Raw genomic sequence first — 20,280 nt, forward strand, 5'->3', positions numbered from 1 at the left:
AAAGCATTGGAATGGCCCAAGAGCCAATGCTTCTTGAGGGTCTCCAATATTCAAGCTAGACCATGAGGCTGGACAGGCAAGGGAGACAGTCCCTTCCTCCCTCATTCATTCCTACCCCTTTCATGAGTGGCCTCTTTGTCCCATGCTCCCTGGGAGAAATGTGTCCTCAAGAAGAGGCAACTACTGATTCAAGTGCCAAATAAGTGGTGTGGACAACAAGTGGTCAAGAGGACTTCACAGGATCCTCCAGATCTCTAAGGAGGAAGAGAGGAGTTGTCCTCACCACCACAGCCTTGCTGAGAAGAGGCCCTAGCAGGCAGCTGTAGAAAAGCACAGCTGAGACGTCCACTCTGATCAACCAGTGCGATTGGCACATATCTTAGCTGGGACCTGGCCTGAGAGCAGGGAGAGGCCCACACGCACTCATTTCTTCATTCAACTGTGTGTGTGTGTTCAGCACCTGTCATGTACCAGGCCCTCATCCGGGCATTTGGGATCTACCGGGGGACCCTTAAGACAAAGATTGCTGCCCCTGGGGAGCTCATGAAAAAAAGCAAAACGCTGAGCCAGGGAAGGGGTCTCGGGTGGGAGAGCAGGTGTCAGGAGTAGGCTACGGTGTTCAGTTTGGGAGGTGGGCCAGACCCCACTGAGGAGGTGACACTGAGCCAAGGAGTCACCTGGGGTGCAGCATTGAGGGCAGCCAGATCTGCACACCCCAAGGTTTTCCAGAAGGGGTTGCAGGGCAGGCTTGGGAGACAGAACAGAGGCCACACGGCTGGAAAGCAACAGAGAGTCGGATCTCGGGGACCTCCTAAGCTTCTGTAGAAAAGGCTTTTACTCTGAGGGTTTTACGCTGCAGGCTTTTGAGCGAAGGACACATGCTCTGACTTCTGTGTGCTTTTTTTTTTTTTGGTTGTTGTTAATATTTTATTTCAGAACAGCTTCAGATGACAGTCCAGTTATAAAGATAGAACAAAGAGTGTCCACACACCCCATCACCCAGTTGCCCTTTTTGTTAACATCTTGCACACTACGGTACATTTGTCACAACCAAGGAAAGAATGTGGGTCCATGACCACCAACTACACCCCACAGTACACTTGGACTTCCCTCGTCTTTCCCTAATGTCCCTTTCTGTTCCCGGATCCCATCCAGAATCCCACATTACGTTTCACCGTCACTTCTCCTTGGGCCCCTTGGGACTGTGACAGTTTCTCAGATGTGCCTGGTGTTGGACGACCTCAACAGTTTTGAGGGGTGCTGGTCGGGTCCTTTGTAGACTGTCCCTCCCTTTATTTTTCTCTGATGTGTTTCTCATGGTTAGACTGAGCTTGTGGGTTTTGGGGAGGACGATCACGGAGGTAAAGGGCCCTTCTCATCCCATCGTGTCAGGGTGCCTGCTGGCAACATGCCTCGTCGCTGACTATGTTAACCTTGATCACCTGGGGAGACAGGGTTTGCTACCAGCATTCTCCACTGCAAAGTTACTTTTAAAATTTCCTTTTATTTTGAGAGGGAGTTTTGCCCTTGTCACCCAGGCTGGAGTGCAATGGCGCGATCTCGGCTCACTGCAACCTCCACCTCCCGAGTTCAAGCGATTCTCCTGCCTCAGCCTCCCGAGTAGCTGGGATTACAGGCACCCACCACCACGCCCAGATAATTTTTTTATTTTTAGTAGAGATGGGGTTTTACCATGTTGGCCAGGTTGGTCTTGAACTCCTGACCTCAGGTGATCCACCTGCCTTGGCCTCCCAAAGTGCTGGGATTATAGGTGTGAGCCACTGTGCCAGGCCTAAAATTTCCCTTTTTGTATGGTACTCTCAGGAAGCAGCTGCACTAACAGCAGCCCACACTCAAGGGAAGGGAGATCATGTCTATTTTTAAAGGATCACCGTGGCTACTGTCTATTGTGAGGAGGTGACTGCAGTGGCTCAGGACAAAGATGATGGTGGCTGGCACCGTGTCGCAGCGGAGAAGGATGATGAGAAGCAACTGAACTCTACATATACGAATCAAATATCTTCCGTTAATCAGATTCTTCTATTGGCTTAGATGTGGGGTGTAAGAGAAAGAGTCAAGGGTTAGCCTTGAGGTTTGGGCTGCAGATCACTGCATCTTGGCATTGACCTCAGTAAAGCCTGGGAAGGCCGCTGGAGGAAAGCCTTTTTGGGGAAGATCAGGAGTTTGCAAGACCTTGTGTGTGTTCAGTTGGGATGACTTGGTCATCAAAGTGAATGCAGTGTTGGAGAGATAAGCCTGGAGTGTGAGAGATGGGTCTGGGCTGGAGGGAATACACATGGGTATCGCAGGCAGAGGTTGGATGAGATCACCAAGGGGTGGGTACTCATGGAAAGGAGGAGAGAGCCCAGAACTGAGTCCAGAACGCCCTGACATCAGAGGCTGGACCAGGAGGAGGAGCCAGCAAGAAAGGCACCAAACTGAGAGCCAGCCAAGAGAAGACCACGATGGACCTAGTCGCAGGGCTGAGAACCAGCCCCAGCAGAGCAGCTTCAGTGGAAGCCCGACTGGGTTTAAGACAGAAAGGGAAGACAGGAATTAGAGACAGGGGCATTAGCAACTTTTTCATGACATTTTGCTGCAAAGGGAGCAAAGACATGCAGTGGAAGCTGACAGGGAAAACGGCTCAAGAGAAGGTTTGTTTTTTCAAGATGGGAGAAATCACAAAGCATTTCTCTGCTAATGGGAATGACTTTCAAGGGAGGTAATGGGTACCCTCTTACCTACGTGCAGTTTACAAGAGTTCTCCAGGGTCTCTCCAAATCCCAAAGGAGCCAAAGCACAGGAGGGAGGGAGGGAACTGCTGGGGCCAAAGTGGGAAAGAGAAGTTGCATGAGAACCTCCAGAAAACCTCGAGAGCCCCCAGGGCCCAAGGAGACAGAGTCCCTGCTGGCCATGTCCCTCCCATTCCAGCAATCAACAGGCAGCTGTCAGGAGACAAAAACAGCTCACTGGAGCAAGGGCTGGGACTGGTAGTAGGTGCGGAGCTCAGCCAGGCAGCTGCACGGGAAACAGGTGTCCTGCTGAACAAGATGGAAGCAGGGTCCCCCACAAATGCTTGTGCAGCCCATCAGCCCCACGGAGACATGGGGAAGACACCCCGTCTTTCTCCTCCACGTCCCTGGGGAGATGACACTGGTCTCGGGGAGACACTAAAAGCCTAGGATGCTTTGGACTCATTGTTCTCCAGGGATCCCCAGTCAGAGGGGCTGAAGCTCCCTGAAAGTATACCCTAAAAGTTGTGTGCCCATGCACAGGCATGTGACTGGGGAGGAAACCCGTAGGTTTCATCAGCTCTTCGAAGGGGACTATATCCTCAGGAGAGATGCGGAGGCCCAGCCAGTCACTTAGGGCACCCCGAAATGCACCTTTTGCCCTGCTCCAAGCTCAAAAGCTGCTTGCCCCATCCCAGACACTGCAGAAAGGGGGAAAAAAATCAATCAACTGACCATTTTGTTCTCAGCCTGAATTTTGGCCCAGCACGCATTCCAAGTGGCTGCAAATCCCAGTGACAGCATGCATGACGCTTGGTATCTGGGTCACTCACTGGGGATCTGACTCACAGGACTGCTTCACTGCAGCCACAAGACGGCCAGGAGAGCCCATGGCATTGCTAATTTCCCCCACAGTAGCCACGAGGGAGGCGGGGAGTGAGTATGTGTGCATGTTTATGTGTGCAACTGGTGTTTCTGTGTGTGCATGTGTTTTCTGTGTGTAAGGCATGTGTGTAATGTGTGTCTGTGTGTGTTAGGTGTGCCCAGGAAGGATGGAGAGGGTGTGTGAGCATATGTATCTATATATGTGTGTTCATGTATATATCTATGCATTTGGTATGTGTACAAGTGGAGGAGTGTATGTGTGGTGTGCGTGTGCGTGTGTGTGTGTGTGTGTGTATGAGAGACAGAGAGATGGAGGGTCAGGCAGGAGTATGGAGACCAAGAGAACATGGGGGCCTGTGCCCCCCACCTCCCAGTTCTCAGAATGAACACAAGGATCTGTCAGAAATGTTATAGAATGTTCTGAAGGATGTGAAGTCAGCTACAGGTCTTAATACTGTATTCTCTGCACAGTCTGAAATTGCATTTTGCTAGAAATCCAAGTCATCGTGCCCTAGGTCGTGCTGCGATTTTGCAAGAGACCAGGGGCTCCGAGGGGTTGTGGTGCCACGCAGGCTCACACAGCTCTGAGGGTCAAAGACTTCTGGTTCTCTCCCAGGAGGGGGATTTAGAATCTCACTTTCTCTCCTTTTATCCCACTCTCTCTCTCTCTGCCCCCACTGCTGATGGACAAAGACCCCTCACCCAAGTTCAGCCTCTGGCTCTGTCCTCTCCTTTCCTGGCACTTTCTACAGAGAACCATGATGAAGCCAGCGTCCTCTCTCTGGCAGGGTCAGGGACTGCTCTGACCAGTGTGGAGCACGCCCCAGGGCCACTCAGAGGCCTCCAGGAGGCCAGGCTATGGCATAGCAAGGCTGGGGCCCGCCTCTGTGGCCCCTCCTTGCTGGACGCCCAAGTCCCCCTGGGAGAGGTGCCCTGGGGGGACCCCAACACCTTGGCTGGGTGTGTGCTTCCCTAGTTCCCCTGTGGCCTCTGCTCACATGGTAAGTGGAATGAGCACGGCCTCATGGAGGCCTGAGTTTGAGCCTGTGACCTGCAGAGGCTTTCCCAGCCTCAGTTTCCCCACCTTCCCTCATGGCCAGTCATGCTGCTTCCCAGCAAGTTAGGGTGCAGTGAGAGGGTCCCTTGCCCCCACCCCAGCTCTGTAAGGCCTACCCACTCCACGCTCCTCCTATTGGGACCCACGTCCTTGCCAGCTTTGGAGCAGGCAGTCCAGCCCAGCTTCTGCCCGGCCCCTGCCCCTGCAGCCAAGCTGGAGGGAGTCGCCACCAGAGCCCAGGGTCAGATGAAAGTATCTCCCGGCTCTGGGCTTGGACAGAAACTGATGCCCAACTCTGCGTGGGGAAGGGGAGAAGCAGGACCCCAACGTGTGCTGATGGTCACAGAGACTGTAAGTACCACAGACACTTTCCCTGTCTCAGGAGGGAGCCCACATTACCCATCAGCCGCCAGGGAAGTCTCCCCACAGTACAGTTGTGAATTAAACATGTGGCCTAATGAGTTGATTTTATTAGTTTGCAAACGCATTGAGAACTCGTTATGAAAATAAACAGCAATTCCTTTCACCCCCGCTGCAGCCTCTTCAAGCGAGGAAAGATAAATGCAAGTACACCACAGTGGTGGCCCAGCTGCACCCGGGCTGCAGGCCGGCCCCCCACGGTCCCCCACCCTCACGGGGTCCCTGTGACCCAGCTGCACCTGGGCTGCAGGCTGGCCCCGCATGGTCCCCTACCCTCATCGGGTCACTGTGACCCAGCTGCACCTGGGCTGCAGGCTGGCCCCGCACAGTCCCCACCCTCACCGGGTCCCTGTGGCCCAGCTGCACCTAGGCTGCAGGCTGGCCTCCCAAGGTCCCCTACCCTCACTGGGTCCTTGTGGCCCTGCCGGGGTGAGGGTAGAAGAGGAGGCCAAGGGAAGGGAGTTCTGCAGCCGACAAGCCCAGGGTGGCAGCCTGAGGGTCCCGGCTTCCCCATTCTGACCCCTTCAGAACTTGGGGGCGGTGGCAAAATGAGAAGCCCAGAGAGCCAAATAATAATAATAATAGTAACAGTAGGCCAGGCGAGGTGGCTCACACCTGTAATCCCAGCATTTTGGGAAGCCCAGGCGGGCAGATCACAAGGTCAAGACTTTGAGACAAGCCTGACCAACATGGTGAAACCCCGTCTCTACTAAAAATACAAAAATTAGCTGTACCTGGTGGTGCGCACCTGTAGTCCCAGCTACTCAGGAGGCTGAGGCAGGACAATCTCTTGAACCCAGGAGGCAGAAGTTGCAGTGAGCCAAGATCGCGCCATTGCACTCCAGCCTGGGTGACAGAGCGAGACTCCGTCTCAAATAATAATAATAATAATAATAGTAATGGTAATAATAGCAGCCTACCAGATGTTTAGTATACACCAGGCTCTGTGCGACATGCTGTCTGATCTGCCACCAACCCTGTGGGGTGGGAAACACGGTCCCATTTTATAGATGAACAAACACACCAAGGTCCTGCTCAAGTTGATGCGGGAGGAATGAGGAGCACAAAGCGGCACGAGAGATTTTCATTTCAGGAGACTTTCTCCTGCAGCGCTAAGTGAGGCCCGGGTTAGAGACAGCAAGACTAGTTTTCCCTGAAAAAGATCTCCATAATCCTGTGGCTGGGCAGGGGGCAGGAAGATGGACAAGCTGACCTTTGGAGGAGCCAAGGGGCCCTCCACGACTCCAAGCCCCGTCTCCCTGGAGACGCCAATGAGCAGCCGGCTCACCTCGCTCCCTCCCCCTCTGCTCTCCCCACCCCCGCCCTCCAGGTCCCCCTGGCCCCAGGCCCCTGGAGAGAGATGGTTCCAGGCTGGCGGAATTAGCCGTGAAGCCAGCAGGACAGGCACCGTATTGTCACGCTCTGCCATCCGTGCTCTCTTTGGAAAGGATGTTCTAATCCCATTTCATCCGCTTTCCATGGCTGTCAGCTGTTTGCAGGCATTTGGGAGGCAGGTTTCTGAAATCGGAGCCACTGTGCGGCCCCACCCCCACCCCCACCCCCAGCCCCCTCCCCCTACATATGCTCATCCATCAGTCTTGCTGGCCGGACCCCTTTGTTGGCCGGCCAACCCCCATCCAGTGGCACGTAGGGCCTCACGCCCCTCCCAGCTGCCCCACCTCTTCTATTTTGGGTCCACAGCAGGACAGGCCTGGGATGCCTCAGCCAAGCCCCCTGCGATGAGGAGGGGGACAGGGAAGGGGGAGCCGTGGAGAGGGGCCTCTCAGATTCCACAGGGAAGGAATTAGCCAAGTGTCAGCTACTTTCTGCAAATGAAGAGAGAGAGAAGGAGGACCTTTGAGCAGTCAAAGGACCAGTGCTCCTTAATTCAATTTATCTTCCACAGTGCAGCCAGAGAGATCTAGCTATTAAAACAAAAACAAAAGAAAACACCACTGCTCCTCACCCCTTTGGAGTACGAGATCTGGACAACAGAGTCCAGTTTTCCCAGACTGGCCCACTGGGCCTCCCTGCCGGCCCCTGCCCTTCCCCAGCCCTCGCTCCCTCCCCCTCCCCTCCCACTGCTGTACTTCATACTCAGCTGCTTTTCATTTCCCAAGCATGCCAGGGCCCTTGCAGCCTCTAGGCCTTTGCCCTGGCTGCTCACTCACTTAGCCTGGAAAGTACCCCCACCTTCTGTGGCAGGCCTGGTTCTTGCCTCGCTTTACAGTTAAGTGCAGGAAGGGGTCTCGCTCTTCCAGAAAGCTTCTCGAACCCGAGGATGGACCACGTTTCCTGCCCTGCCTCGGTTTCCTAAAGGACTTGATGACACCTCTTTCTTAGCCCTTGATTTAAACATCATATTGGATTTACCTGCTTATACTCGTTTCCCCCTAGATGACTGTGAGTCAGGCTAGACTGGAGGTTGGGGAAACATGTCCTGGGCATGTTTGAAAGACACTTTGTATGTTGGGTACACAGCGACACAAAGATGGGAACAAAAGACACTGGGGGACAAGGATTGAAAAGGGGGAGGGAGGGAGGGGCATAAGGATTGAAAAGGCGGAGGGAGGGAGGAGCACAAGGATTGAAAAGGGGGAGGGAGGGGGACAAAGATTGAAAAGGGGGAGGGAGGGGGACAAAGTTTGAAAAGGGGGAGGGAGGGAGGGGCACAAGGATTGAAAAGGGGGAGGGAGGGAGGGGGACAAGGATTGAAAAGGGGGAGGGAGGGAGGGGGACAAGGATTGAAAAGGGGAAAGGAGGGAGGGGCATAAGGATTGAAAAGGCGGAGGGAGGGAGGGGGACAAGGATTGAAAAACTACCTATCAGGTACTAGGTTCCCTTTTTGGGTGACAGCATGGTTAGAAGCGCAAACCTCAGCATCACACAATATATCCAGGTAACAAACCCGCATGTGTGTCCCCTGAATAGAAGATAAAAAAAAAAAAAAAAAGAAAGTTTGTAAAGGCTGCTCCTAAACTGATGTTTGAATCGTGCCTGACACAGAAGAAAGTGCTCAGTAAGTGTCAGCCACCTCTAGGTTATTATTTTTCTCATTGTCCTTGTTTTTATTTTTCAACTCTTTGAACCGTGCCTGACACACAATGAGTACATACTTGATGTTACAACTGTTGACTTCAGAGTCTTAGATAGATCTAGCAAGAAGATAACCTCAAACATCATTGACTTTAACGTTCTGCTGTCATTGATGATGCATTTGAGGCCCCAGAAGTAAAGTAAGTTGTCAGAGGCCCCTGAATTGGCCACTAGCAGAGCTGAGTCTAGAACTGGGCCTCCTGATGTCCCAACGAAGTATGAGTCTCTGCCCGGATGCCCTCCTCACCATAAGCCCTAGTCCCAGTGGAGCTATATGCTCCTGAGCTGCAAAGCAAGTCTCTTTCTAGGTTTCTCTGCAGAGTCCAGGTCTTTGCATAACACTTAGAGAACATCAGGGATAAGACAGGTCCAGTGTTCTGTTCGGCTCACCAAAAAGAAGGGAGACACAGACCTTCTCCCCAAGCCCCGTCCCTCCCTCCATCCCCAGTCCTGTTCCTGTCCACCACACGTGACCCCAGGGTCTGATGGTGGTTGCGGTGGAAGTTGTTCTGGAATAAAACTCTCAGCTAGGTGATGCCCAGGGTGAGGATGTGGGAAGACAGAGTGATGCACAAGCTGGTCCGACAGCCCACTGGAGGCCACGTTTTTAAACCAGAGTCATGTGAAATAAGCAACACACACACACAAGTATACATGCGCACAAATATATACACACATACATAAACATATACACAAATACACATACACACAATAACATACAACACATACACACAACCACATGTGCATTCACACATACATATATGTACACACAGTCACATACATATATACACAAATACACATGCATGTGACACACATGCCTACACATGCACATGAACACACAACCCAAATACACGTACACACGCATGCATGTAGACACATATGCATATACACATGAACACACATACACACACGTACACACACATACATACTTCTTCCCTCTGCATCTGAGCTTGACAGTGTGCATGAAGTAGACATATGATCCAGTTTGTGGAATCGGTACCTCCTCTTCCCCAGAACATCAGGAAGCGACCAGAAAGGCAAGCCACTTGCATGCTACCTTGCAAACTGACCTCAGGGCACTGTGAACCTTGTGCTCGGCAGCCCCAGGCATCCCGGTGCTGCTTGCCTTCCCCACCCTCTCCCCGCCTGTCTGAGCTAGACAAATTTCCACCCCCGGCTCCCCACCTCAACAGTCTCCCCAGCCCCAGCTCAGCATCCCACACACACATGCAGGCTCAGGAAGGAGAAAAAAACAAGAGGGAAAGAGGCAAGCAACGGTGATTTCCTTTCACTTGGGCAGGCTGACCGTGGCCTCAAGGACCACTGTCGCAATGCTTAGGCCTGAGCACGCATTTGTCTTTGTTTGGTTTGTTGCTTTGGTTTGTTTCGTTCTCCTGGCTGAATTACCACGTGGCAGCAGATCCTTTTTCTGGAGTAATGGAATCTTAGTCCTGGGTGTTTGGGGCTGAGAAAATGAACGTTCCATGATGCTATAAACGAAGGAAGATAAGAAACTAACTAGTCCAGCTAGTTTTTGCAGAATGCTGTGAGAGTTACAGGATAGGAAGCCACTTTCCTCCTGGGCCCAGCCCTTAGAGAGGTGCCTGAGAGGTGAGGGAGGTGCTCTCAGAGCTGCAGGCACTGCACTGTGCGCATTCCCACCATGAGATGCCTGGGGAAGGGGTCAGATTCCAGGGCTCAGGGACACAGAAGCCCCTTCTGAAGTGGGGATAGCTGAGAATGCAGAGGGGAGACAAAGTGGGCGGAGAGACAGCTCTCCTAGGGAGAGCGGAGGTCTAGAAAAGGTGCTGGGATGAGAGGGCGGGTTTTCACAGGCCCATGCATGGCACATGGGAGGCCCACGACACATGTTTATTGAATGAATGAAGGAATGGAAGGCCATAGCTGTGAGCATGCTTGTGGGCAGGGGTGGTTGAGAGAGCTGACCTCGCACTGAGCAAAGAAGGTGAAGGGCTGTAGAGGGGAAGGGAGAGGCCTCTGGGGAGGGGAGAAGCTTCCCGCAGAGAGGAGGGGAGAGGGCTCCAGGGGAGGGGAGGGGCCTCCTGCAGAGAGGAGGGGAGAGGGCTCCCGCAGAGGGGAGGGGAGAGGCCTCCTGCAGAGGGGAGGTGAGAGGGCTCCAGGGGAGGGGAGAGGCCTCCTGCAGAGGGGAGGGGAGAGGCCTCCTGCGGAGGGGAGGGGAGAGGGCTTCAGGGGGTTCTTAGGAGGCAAAGAGTCAATGCTTCTCTTTCTAGGATGGTTTGAATGCAGTTTTGCTCTAAGGCAAGGAAATGAACCCAGAGACCCCCAGGGGCCCTTCTGGCTCCTGGCTCTGATTTTTAACTTCAGCCAAGGTGGGGAGGAGGGTGACAGGCAACAAGGCCCTTAGAGCTGTCCTCTGGCTGCAGAGATCTCTCCCTGTCCAGCATACCTAGTCGACAGGCTCCAGGGGAGCTTACGAAGGGGGCGTCCCAGCTATTTGCGTTCTCCTGAGTGATTTACCAACCCCCTGCCAATACAACTCCATCTCCTGGAGAATTAACTGGCTCTCCTGAACTCATAAATAATTAGTGAGTCTGTCCCTGATGCCACTTAACAATTTGTGTTTTCAAAGCACTTTATGCCCATTAACTAAAGAATTCCCAATTCACCTCCAGAAAAACAGGACATCATAAGAGGGAGCCTGAAAAGGCCTCTGGAAGTCATCTCATCCATCCCCCGGCCTCTGGGATATGGTAAAACTAAAACAAAACAAAATACCCAACAACCCTGTTTTGAGAACACATCGAGATCTAAACGCCTTAAAACAAAACAGAACAAAGAAAAACAAGATGTCAGGAGGGCAAGCTGCTGTCTGACGAGTTAACCACTAGACCGAACCCACCAGGCCAAGGAGCCAGGGAGGTCCCATGGAGTGTGATGGGCCAGGGAGAGAAGCCTGTTAAAGGGGAGAGAGGTGCTTAATTTAATACCAGGCAAATGCAAGAGACCTTGAACCAATAGATAGGTTTCCTTACCTGCAGGTAGGGAAATGGTAATTTGCTAACCCAAACCCATTCATTAGCCTGTAAATGACGCAGCTCTTATACCTAGGAGTGTCCCTCTTAATTAGACCCCATACCTTTGCCCAGCCTCATTTTATGTTTTGCTTCTGGCTTGGGGCAGAAATGGCCGTTCATGCCAACTGGCCTCTCCCCATGGAGAGGGAGAGCTCGCTGTGCCTGTGGATTCATTTATAGTCGTCAAAACAAGATTCTCCAGGGAGGCAGTGGTCGGCCAAGCCCAAGGGCTATGGAGCCACAAGGATTCAAGGAAGCATCACTCCTTTGCCCTTTTAGAATCATGACCTCTTAATTAATCAGCAAGGAACTATAAAAAACCTACTGTATGCCCAGGACAGTGTGAGAAATGAGAGAGGAAAAAGGAGTCTCCATTTCTGCCCCATGAACAGGAAGGGTGTTTCCCTTTGGAATCTAGAGTCCACGTGGTGCCCAAGAACGGCATGGGGGAGTCAGGGAAGCAGAGGCCAAGCAAGACTCTTCTACAGGGAAGGTACTTAGACAGGCAACTTCCTATTCCCCGATCACCCCTGCCATCCTCACGGCCAAGGAAAGCAATGCCAGGAATAAAGGCGATGGACAGGTGGAGGGTCTGTGTCTGGCACAGCAGAGCAAATGCCTACCAGAGCACAAAACCCACAGCTAACAACTATGAACCCTGGACAGAACACCAAAAAAGCAACTATTAGGGCTGGGTGTGGTGGCTCATGCCTGTAATCCCAGCACTTTGGGAGGCCAAGGCGGGTGGATCACTTGAGGTCAGGAGTTTGAGACTGGCCTGGACAACATGGCGAAACCTCACCTCTACTAAAAATACAAAAATTAGCTGAGTGTGGTGGTGCGTGCCTGTAATTCCAGCTACTCAGGAGGCTGAGACAAGAGAACTGCTTGAACCCGGGAAGTGGAGGTTGCAATGAGCCAAGATTGTGCCACTGTACTCCAGCCTGGGCAACAGAGCGAGACCCTGTCTCAAAAAAAAAAAAAAAAAGCAAATCCTAGGAGGCCCTGGGGAGTGAACCAAAGTGGGCAGACACCGGAGAGAACTGGCTGCTTGGAAGAAATGGATGGCACAACGTGAGTTTCCTGTTTTTTATAGCAAAACTTGAGGGCAGGCTGAAGTCAGCACAGCACAGACAGCTAACCCTCCAGCAGAAATCAAAACAGCAGCAGAAATCAAAACAGTGTGGTACTACCATAAGGACAGACACAGAGACCGGTGTAACAGAACAGAGAGTCTATATGCATCTATGGCCAACTGATTTTTGACAAAGTTGTCAGGAAACTCAATGGGGAAAAAACATGTCTCTTCAACAAATGGAGCTTGGATAACTGGATAACCACATGCAAAAGAATGAACCTGAACCCCTACCTCACATCATATACAAAAAGGAACTCAAAATGGATCAACAACCAAAATAGAAGAGCTGAACCATAAAACTCTTAGAAGAAAACATGGGGTTAAATCTTAAAATCCTTGGATTTTGCAATGGATTCTTAGATATGATGACAAAAGAAAAAAAAATGTAAGGTGGACTTCATCAAAATTAAAATCTTTTGTGTATCAAAGGGCATGATCAGGAAAGTGAAAGGCAATCTATAGAATGAAAGAAAATATTTGCAAATCATACATCTGACAAGGGTCTAGTATCCAGAATATGTAATGAAACCTTACAACTGAACAACAACAACAACAACAACAAAACATAATTAAAAATTAGGCTGGATGTGGTGGCTGGCTCATGCCAGTAATCTCAGCACTTTGGGACACTGAGGCAGGCAGTTTGCTTGAGCCCAGGAGTTCAAGACCAGCCTGGGCAACATGGTGAAACCCTGTCTCTACAAAACGTACAAAAATTAGCTGGGTGTGGTGGCATGTGCCCATAGTCCCAGCTATGTGGGGGGCTGAGGTAGGAGGATTGCTTAAGCCCAGGGGGTTGAGGCTGCAGTGAACTGTGTCTGTACCTCTGCTCTCCATCCTGGGCAACAAAGTGAGATCCTGTCTCAAAAAAAAAAAAAAAGACAATGGACTTGAACAGAAATTTCTCCAGAGAAGATATACAAACGGCCAACAAGCACATGAAAAGATGGTCAGCACCATTAGTCATCAGGGAAATACAAATCAAAACCCCCATAAGGTAACACTTCACACCCACCAGGTCAGCTATAATTAAACAAATGAAAAATAACAAGTGTTGGTGTGAAGAAATCAAAACCTTTGTACATTGCTGGTGAGATTGTAAAATGGTTCAGTAACTGTGGAAAATAGTTTGTTCGTTCCTCAAAAAGTTAAACATAGAATTACCACATGATTCAATAGTTCCACTCCTAGGTATAGACCCAAAAGAACTGAGAACAAGGTCTCAAACAAACACATGCACACACCTATTCATGCACTGTGAACAACAGCCAACAGGGGGAAATGGCACAAAAGTCCATTAACAAGTGCACGTGGCATATACATGCAATGAAATAGTAATTAGCAATTAAAAAGGAATGAAGTACTGCTACAAGCTTCAACACGGATGGACCTTGAAAACATTATGCTCAGTAAAAGAAGCCAGATACAAAAGGTCACATATTGTATGACTCCATTTATGTGAAACATCCAGAATAGGTAAATCCACAGATACAGATTGTGGCTGAGTTGTTGCCAGGGGCTGGAAAGGAGTGGGGAGCAACTGCTTAATGGGTAAGGGGTTTCCTTTTGGGGTGATAAAATGTCTTGAAACTAGATAGAGGTGATGGTTGCACAATATTGTGAATGTACTCAACGCTACTGAATTATTCATTTTATAATGGTTAATTTTATGTCATGTGAATTTCACCTCAATTACAACATAAGAAAAACCTCCAAGAGGAAACTCACAGTCTAGAATTCAGGGCAACCACAGGCACCAGAAAGTGAGGATGGATCCTGGAAAGTGGAGAGCCAGTGAGGGGAACATCAAATTCTTTGTATAGATGATGCCTAAATCTCTGGCTGACCCCTGAACTATATGTACTCAGGGCAGACTGCAAGTAACCCAGCTGAGGATAAATGTACTGAACTGAGATTTGAGCTACTGCCCCAAGGGAGAGTTTGCAGTTTGAATCAATTAAGTTAGTTCCCCCTAAAACAAAAAGTAAAATCAATACTTGTTGAAGAAATGTAATAGAATCTAGATTCTCTCTGACTTATTGCAATGCCCAAGATATATTCAAAATTACTCTACATACAAAGAACATGCAACCCATTCTCAAGATAAAAGATAATCAAGACTGACCCTGAAATGATGAGATGTTGAAATTAGCGGACACGAATTTTAAAGCTGCTAATATATTTCATGCAATAAATGACAATGTGCTCATTTAGTAAATAATAGTAAATCTTTAGAAAGCTAGAAGTTATATATAAATATAACTTTTTTATACATTATATATATACATATATACAATGTATGAAAATTTTAGAACTGAAAAATAAAATATATCAGATTTAAAAATTCACTGGATGGGCTTAACCAAAACATGGAGACAATAAAGGAAATAATGAACTTAAATATATATCCATAGAAATTACTCAATCTGAAGAACAGAGAGTAAGAAGATTGAAAAAAGTGAACAGGGACAATATAAAAACATCTAACATAGGTGTTAGTGAAGCTCAAGAAGGAAAGAAAAAATGGGGCTAAAAGTTTGAAGAAATAATGGTTCCCAAATTTGGTGAAAGACATGTATTTACAGATTCAAGATGGTCAGTGAACTCTAAGCAGGATAACCAACGACTCATCATAGTCAAACTTCTGAAAACCTAAGATAAAGAAAGTGGGGACAAGAGGATATTACATCCAGTTCTCAGCTACCCGTCCTGTGCATTTCAACAATTAGACAATTGGTACAGACCTGGACACCAATCCATGTGTCCACTAGAGTCAGCTTCCTACCATAGTGTATGGGGAATGCTGAGCTCCAATTGCCCAAACTTCAGAAGGCTTTGCCCAGGCTCATTCCTGCCCAGCCATGGGCTATAAGTCCTTTTCTCTATGTTGAACAGAGAGGTCAACCAAAGGGAGAAAATAACCTTTTATCTCTGGGTTGCCAGAAAGTCAGCAACACGTTGGAAAGGGGACCCAGGGCCCTCCCTCATGCCCCCGTTATCTGCATGTGCAGATTTCAGCTGATTCCCCAAGCCCGATGCAGAGGTCTCTCCTCCCTCTGTGAGTCCCTCCTGAACTACAGTATGATGCTTCTGGATTCCAGAAATTAGGGCTGTTTTCATAGCTGGGACAAGTTTTCTTGGCTCAGGGAGGAAAGTAATAGTTCCCAGTCTTTTTCCTCCTCTTCCCCACAATTCAGTGTTTGAGGAGGGAGGGAGGCAAAGAGTGCTGTGGCTGGTGCAGAGGTGGAAATCCACCCACTGCCTCACTTGGAGTGATTTGCAAAGGGTACGTAGAGACACTTAGGGAAAGTAAGGAGAGGTGCGTCTTTCTTCCCGTGCCTCACCCCCTCCTCCCATGGGACAAGGGCCTCAGAAGGACCACAGGGGAAGCAGCTTCTTCAGTGGATTTCCTAGATCTATCATGGCCCAAGAGCAATGCTCAGATGCCCAATGCCTGCATGCGCATGATTGGGGCTGGTTCTGGTTTTCATTTTTTGGGGCCCTGAACTCCAAGGTCTTCATCTTGGAATTCAAGGGCCTTGACCATCTGGTCCTTTCCTTGTCATTCCTTGGAGAGGTAGCGGGGGCCCAGCCCTCCCCTTCACCCATCCTGCACTTGGCTAATGCTCCCATCTGTAGGCCTCGGCCAGCCCTTGCAGTGCCCTCTGCCTGGAATCCTCCTCCTGAGCCTGCATCCCTACATTCCAGTGACTAAGTATCTTTATGTCCCCAGTTCAAATGTCCCATCTTCCTTAAAGTCCTTTCTGATGCCCCCATGAGGAAGGTATTTCTTCCCCATTGAGTCATTGCTTTCTATTTCATTTTGATTTATTCAATATTTTTGTTATGCTATAGATAACTATCTGTCAGAAGCTCTTCTAAGAGCTTTTACAAATAATTGGGTAATCCTCACAACAACCTCATGAAGTGAGGACTATCATCCTCCATTTACAGATAGGGAAACTGATGCTCGGAGAGGCTGGGTCACTTGTCTAGGGTCATCATAGAGGCAGTCTGGCTCTGGGGTTCCCCCTCTCTGTTCTCTATTGCTCTATAAACTGCTTGAGGCCTCATCAATTGATTAAGTAGAGGAATAGAAAAGCCTGGCACTCTGCCAAGAGCCCTGGGGGGAAGGAAGGAGTGAGGGGGAGGAGGCCTTCCCCCTGAAGGCCCCCAGAGCTTGAGGAGGACAAGCCCAGTTGGACAAGACTGAGGAAATAAGATGGTACCCTAACCGAGTTCAGTGCCTCTCTGCTCTGCAAAAGCAGGGATAGGGTGGGGAGAGCACAGATTGTCTTCTCTCTGGTTGCCTAGCTGCCCCCTGATCTCACCTGACACTGGGACTCTGATCCCCTTTCGGTCAGCTCCACTGCACCCCACCCCGCCCCAGATCCCGACTCTCTCTGCTTCTTCACGCCTGTGGGCCCAGGCTGGACTGCTCTGCCCGTTTCCCGGATGTGAAACAGATCCATACTGCAGAGGGAATTGCCCTTCAATAAGTGATGAGTTCCCCCAAGAGCTCTCCTGTGCTTTCCCCCTCCAGAGAATTTTCTGTTTTGTTTACTTAAGGGGGTGATTCCTTTTCATGTTCTCCTTCCTGTATCAAAGACAGCACGGCAGACAGACCATTAACAAAGCAGGGCCTCCGGGTTGTTTTTCCAGGAGGAGGACTGGGCAGGGCCGCTCAGCCTGCTGGGCCTCCTCAACCTCCAGGCTCCCTCCCAGGTCCCCCTCACTGCTGGCTGGAGCAGGAGCAGGGAGGAGGACTTCCCTCTGAGAGCAGAAAATTGGGATTCAAAATAGACCAGTGTTAGGAAGCCAATAGCTTCTCCATACATACTCCAGGCAAGCTGATAGAACTGATAGTTCATATTTTTGGGCTGGGCGTGGTAGCTCACGCCTGTAACCCTAGCACTTTGGGAGGCCAAGGCAGGCAGGTTGCCTGAACTCAGGAGTTCGAGACCAGCCTGGGAAACATGGCAAAACCCTGTCTCTACTAAAAATACAAAACAATTAGCTGGTGTGGTAGTGCGCCTATAGTCCCAGCTACTTGGAAGGCTGAGGCATGAAAATCTCTTGAATCCGGGAGTGGCAGATGGCAGAGGTTGCAGTGAGCCGAGATTGTGCCATTGCACTCTAGAGAGACTCTGTCTCCAAAAAAAGAATAGAACTGATCACTCCTATTTTTTAGAAGAGTAGAGACCCTCCTAAAATCAATCTTAAAATAGCAACAGCAGCAAATGAACTCTAGTGCTTCCCAGAATTTAATGTGCATGCCGCACCTGGGGAATCTTAAAATGCAGATTCTGATTCATCAGGTCTGGGGTGAGGTCTGAGTTTCTGCATGTTTAGCAACCGCTGAGTGATGCTGAGGCTGCCGGCATAAGCACCGCTCTCAGCCACTCAAGGAACTGGTGCATCCAAAAGCCCTGAACTAATCCGGCTTCACGAGGGGAAGATGCAACTATAATAAGGGTGGCCGTGGTGATGTTGTTACTAGGAGGAGTGGTTATTGAGCAGTTACTCTGCACCAGATACTCCATGCCACTGTGGTACAACAGAAGGAAAATCTATCCAGCCTTGCAGGATTTTCCTAATCTCTCTCCAAGAGTCAACAGGGAAGGAGGAAACTGAATATAAGAGGATTAACATTTTCTTTGCAATATGTCTCACTGCCCCATTTGATAGACGAAGTAACTGAGGCTGGAAGAGCTTTGGTAGCTTGCCGAGGTCCCATAACTCACAAGCAGCAGGGCCAGGATTCCAGCTGAGGTGTGCTCTGGCTTTCAAGACCATGGTAATTTGAACACAGCCTCTCATGAGACAGGGAGACAGAGGCAGAGAGAGCAGTGCATACCAGGCAGGACCAGACAAGCAGGCACCAGGGCGCGAGGCGGAATTCCACATCCTGCCTGTGACGCCCAAGACAGTCTCCTAGGCAAAACTGGGGAACTTCATGGAGAAGTTTCTAGGCCTGCTCACCATTCTTCTACCTCACCCTTGTCGTATTCCTGGAGCCTGAGAGAAGAGGGTCCCCTGGCCTTGTCAGCCCCATGAGAGGGGGCAGCAGGAGAACAGGGTCCTAGGTGGTGGCCTCTCTGCTTTCCAGAGCAGGAAACTGAGGCCTGGAGAGGGGAGGGGAACACCTGAAGGTCTCACCAGTGGGCAGGGCAGGGTTCTTGGGCTTGCGACCTGGGCAGTCACCCTGGGCCCCACGCCTAGAAGGGCACCACCCTTGGTGTAATATTTCTCCGCTGCCATCTTGAAATTCTGATTAATTTTTTAACACCACATTTTCTTTTCTTTTTTCTTTTTCTTTTTCTTTTTTTGAGAGAGAGTCTCACTCTGTTGTCTAGGCTGGAGTGCAGTGGTGCAATCTCGGCTCACTGCAACATCTGCCTCCCCGGCTCAAGCGATTCCCTTGCCTCAGCCTCCCGAGTAGCTGGGATTACAGGTGCCCGCCACCACACCTGGCTAATTTTTGTATTTTTAGTAGAGACAGGATTTTGTCATATTGGCCAGGCTGGTCTTGAACTCCTGACCTCAGGTGATCCACCCACCTCAGCCTCCCAAAGTGCTGGGATTATAGGCGTGAATCACCGAGTCCTGCAGCATTTTCATTTTGCACCGGATCCTGCAAAAGATGCCGCTGGTCCTGCCAGTGGGTTAGAGAACACGTCAGGGCTATACCCCCTTTCCGAGCTGCTCCTGGAGGCCAAGACCTGAGCACTGAGCGAGACAGAGCCGTCTCTGGGCAGGCTGCTGCAAGCCCCAACCTCCAGGCAGCGGGAGCCTGGCAGGCTGGAAAACAAAAGAAAACTTCAGGAGAGGCCAGGAGGGAGGAAGGACCTTCTGAGAGGGCAAGAGATGTGCCAGAATTGCGCCTGAGCGAGCTGGGGAACAGATCCCAAGTCCTCCTCTCTTGTCTGTAGTGACAGATGAATGCGTTGGCCGGGGCTCGGGAGGGGGAGGACAGGGGCCAGTTGTCTTCAGGGCCCTGGCCTCTCCAAGGAAACCTCCACCCCCACCACACCCAAACCCCAAGGGCTGGGCAAATGCACGGCGCCCAGCTATGCCAGCCTGTCCCAGGGGCTCTGGGGAATTTAAGCCAAGTCCTTCACTTTGATTTTGGGTTGGCCAAAGGAGAAGGAAAAGGCCAAGTGGATTGGATTCAGAAGCTCCAGCCTGGCCTGCAAGTTCCAGCTCAGACAAGAGGCCTCCCTCCAGCTCCCCATCCCCCACCACTGGTTACTCAGGCCTGGTGGAGAGCAAAGCCAGCCAGACATGCATTCCTCTGGGCCACTGTCCTGTGCCCAGAAGACAGGTGCTGGCATCAGACAGGGCTGAGGAAGGAATTCTGGGATGGAGGCAGGACAGAAGAGAGACTTCATCAGCCCAGCACATTCTAGGAAGACAGCGATGGAATGGGAGGGTTCTCTGGAGACCTGGGGACAGGCCTGAGGTTGTCTGAGCCCCAGGGGCTGGTCTTCGATGTGGACCCCAGAGGGTTTCCTGATTTATCCATGAGCTTGGACCTGCTGTGCTGAGGACAGAGGGGCAGTGTTCGGTCTCCTTGGGTAGCGTCTTCACCCTGTGACCCCTTCTCCATCTTGGCCTGCGCAGGGGGCCCAATCAACAGAACCCAACACTAGCCGGGGGGGTGTAAAATCCAAAAAGAACCTTTGCAATATCGGACAACTGGTGAACACTGCCAGCATGAGCATCTTGTATATTTTGAACCAACTCTACCAGCCCATTTTCTAGTTGCTAGGATGGTCACCTCCAAACTCATGGGGGTTGTTGAAAGGATTCGATGTGTTAATACATGTGAGGCGCTTAGAACACAGACTGGGAAGGGGATAGGCTTTATATAAATGGTGGTTATTACCATATTTC

The 20,280-nt window shown here is 50.5% G+C and overlaps 1 protein-coding gene across 5 annotated transcripts in view, besides 2 other annotated features; it reads right to left on the reverse strand.

Annotated features, from left to right (window-relative positions):
• SDK2 (sidekick cell adhesion molecule 2) overlaps positions 1-20,280 on the reverse strand; it is a 310,062-nt gene that overhangs the window by 272,566 nt on the left and 17,216 nt on the right. The window lies entirely within an intron of this gene.
• Positions 5,090-5,626: an enhancer, noted in NCBI's record as "H3K27ac-H3K4me1 hESC enhancer chr17:71608178-71608714 (GRCh37/hg19 assembly coordinates)". NCBI's record gives its function as "activates a minimal SCP1, AML or CMV promoter by ChIP-STARR-seq in primed H9 embryonic stem cells {active_cell/tissue: H9 hESC(primed)}" and the evidence as "EXISTENCE:reporter gene assay evidence [ECO:0000049][PMID:30033119]".
• Positions 18,467-18,992: an enhancer, noted in NCBI's record as "H3K4me1 hESC enhancer chr17:71621555-71622080 (GRCh37/hg19 assembly coordinates)". NCBI's record gives its function as "activates a minimal SCP1, AML or CMV promoter by ChIP-STARR-seq in naive H9 embryonic stem cells {active_cell/tissue: H9 hESC(naive)}" and the evidence as "EXISTENCE:reporter gene assay evidence [ECO:0000049][PMID:30033119]".

Source organism: Homo sapiens, chromosome 17 (genome assembly GCF_000001405.40).
Source record: "Homo sapiens chromosome 17, GRCh38.p14 Primary Assembly".
NCBI classification, from domain to species: domain Eukaryota; kingdom Metazoa; phylum Chordata; class Mammalia; order Primates; family Hominidae; genus Homo; species Homo sapiens.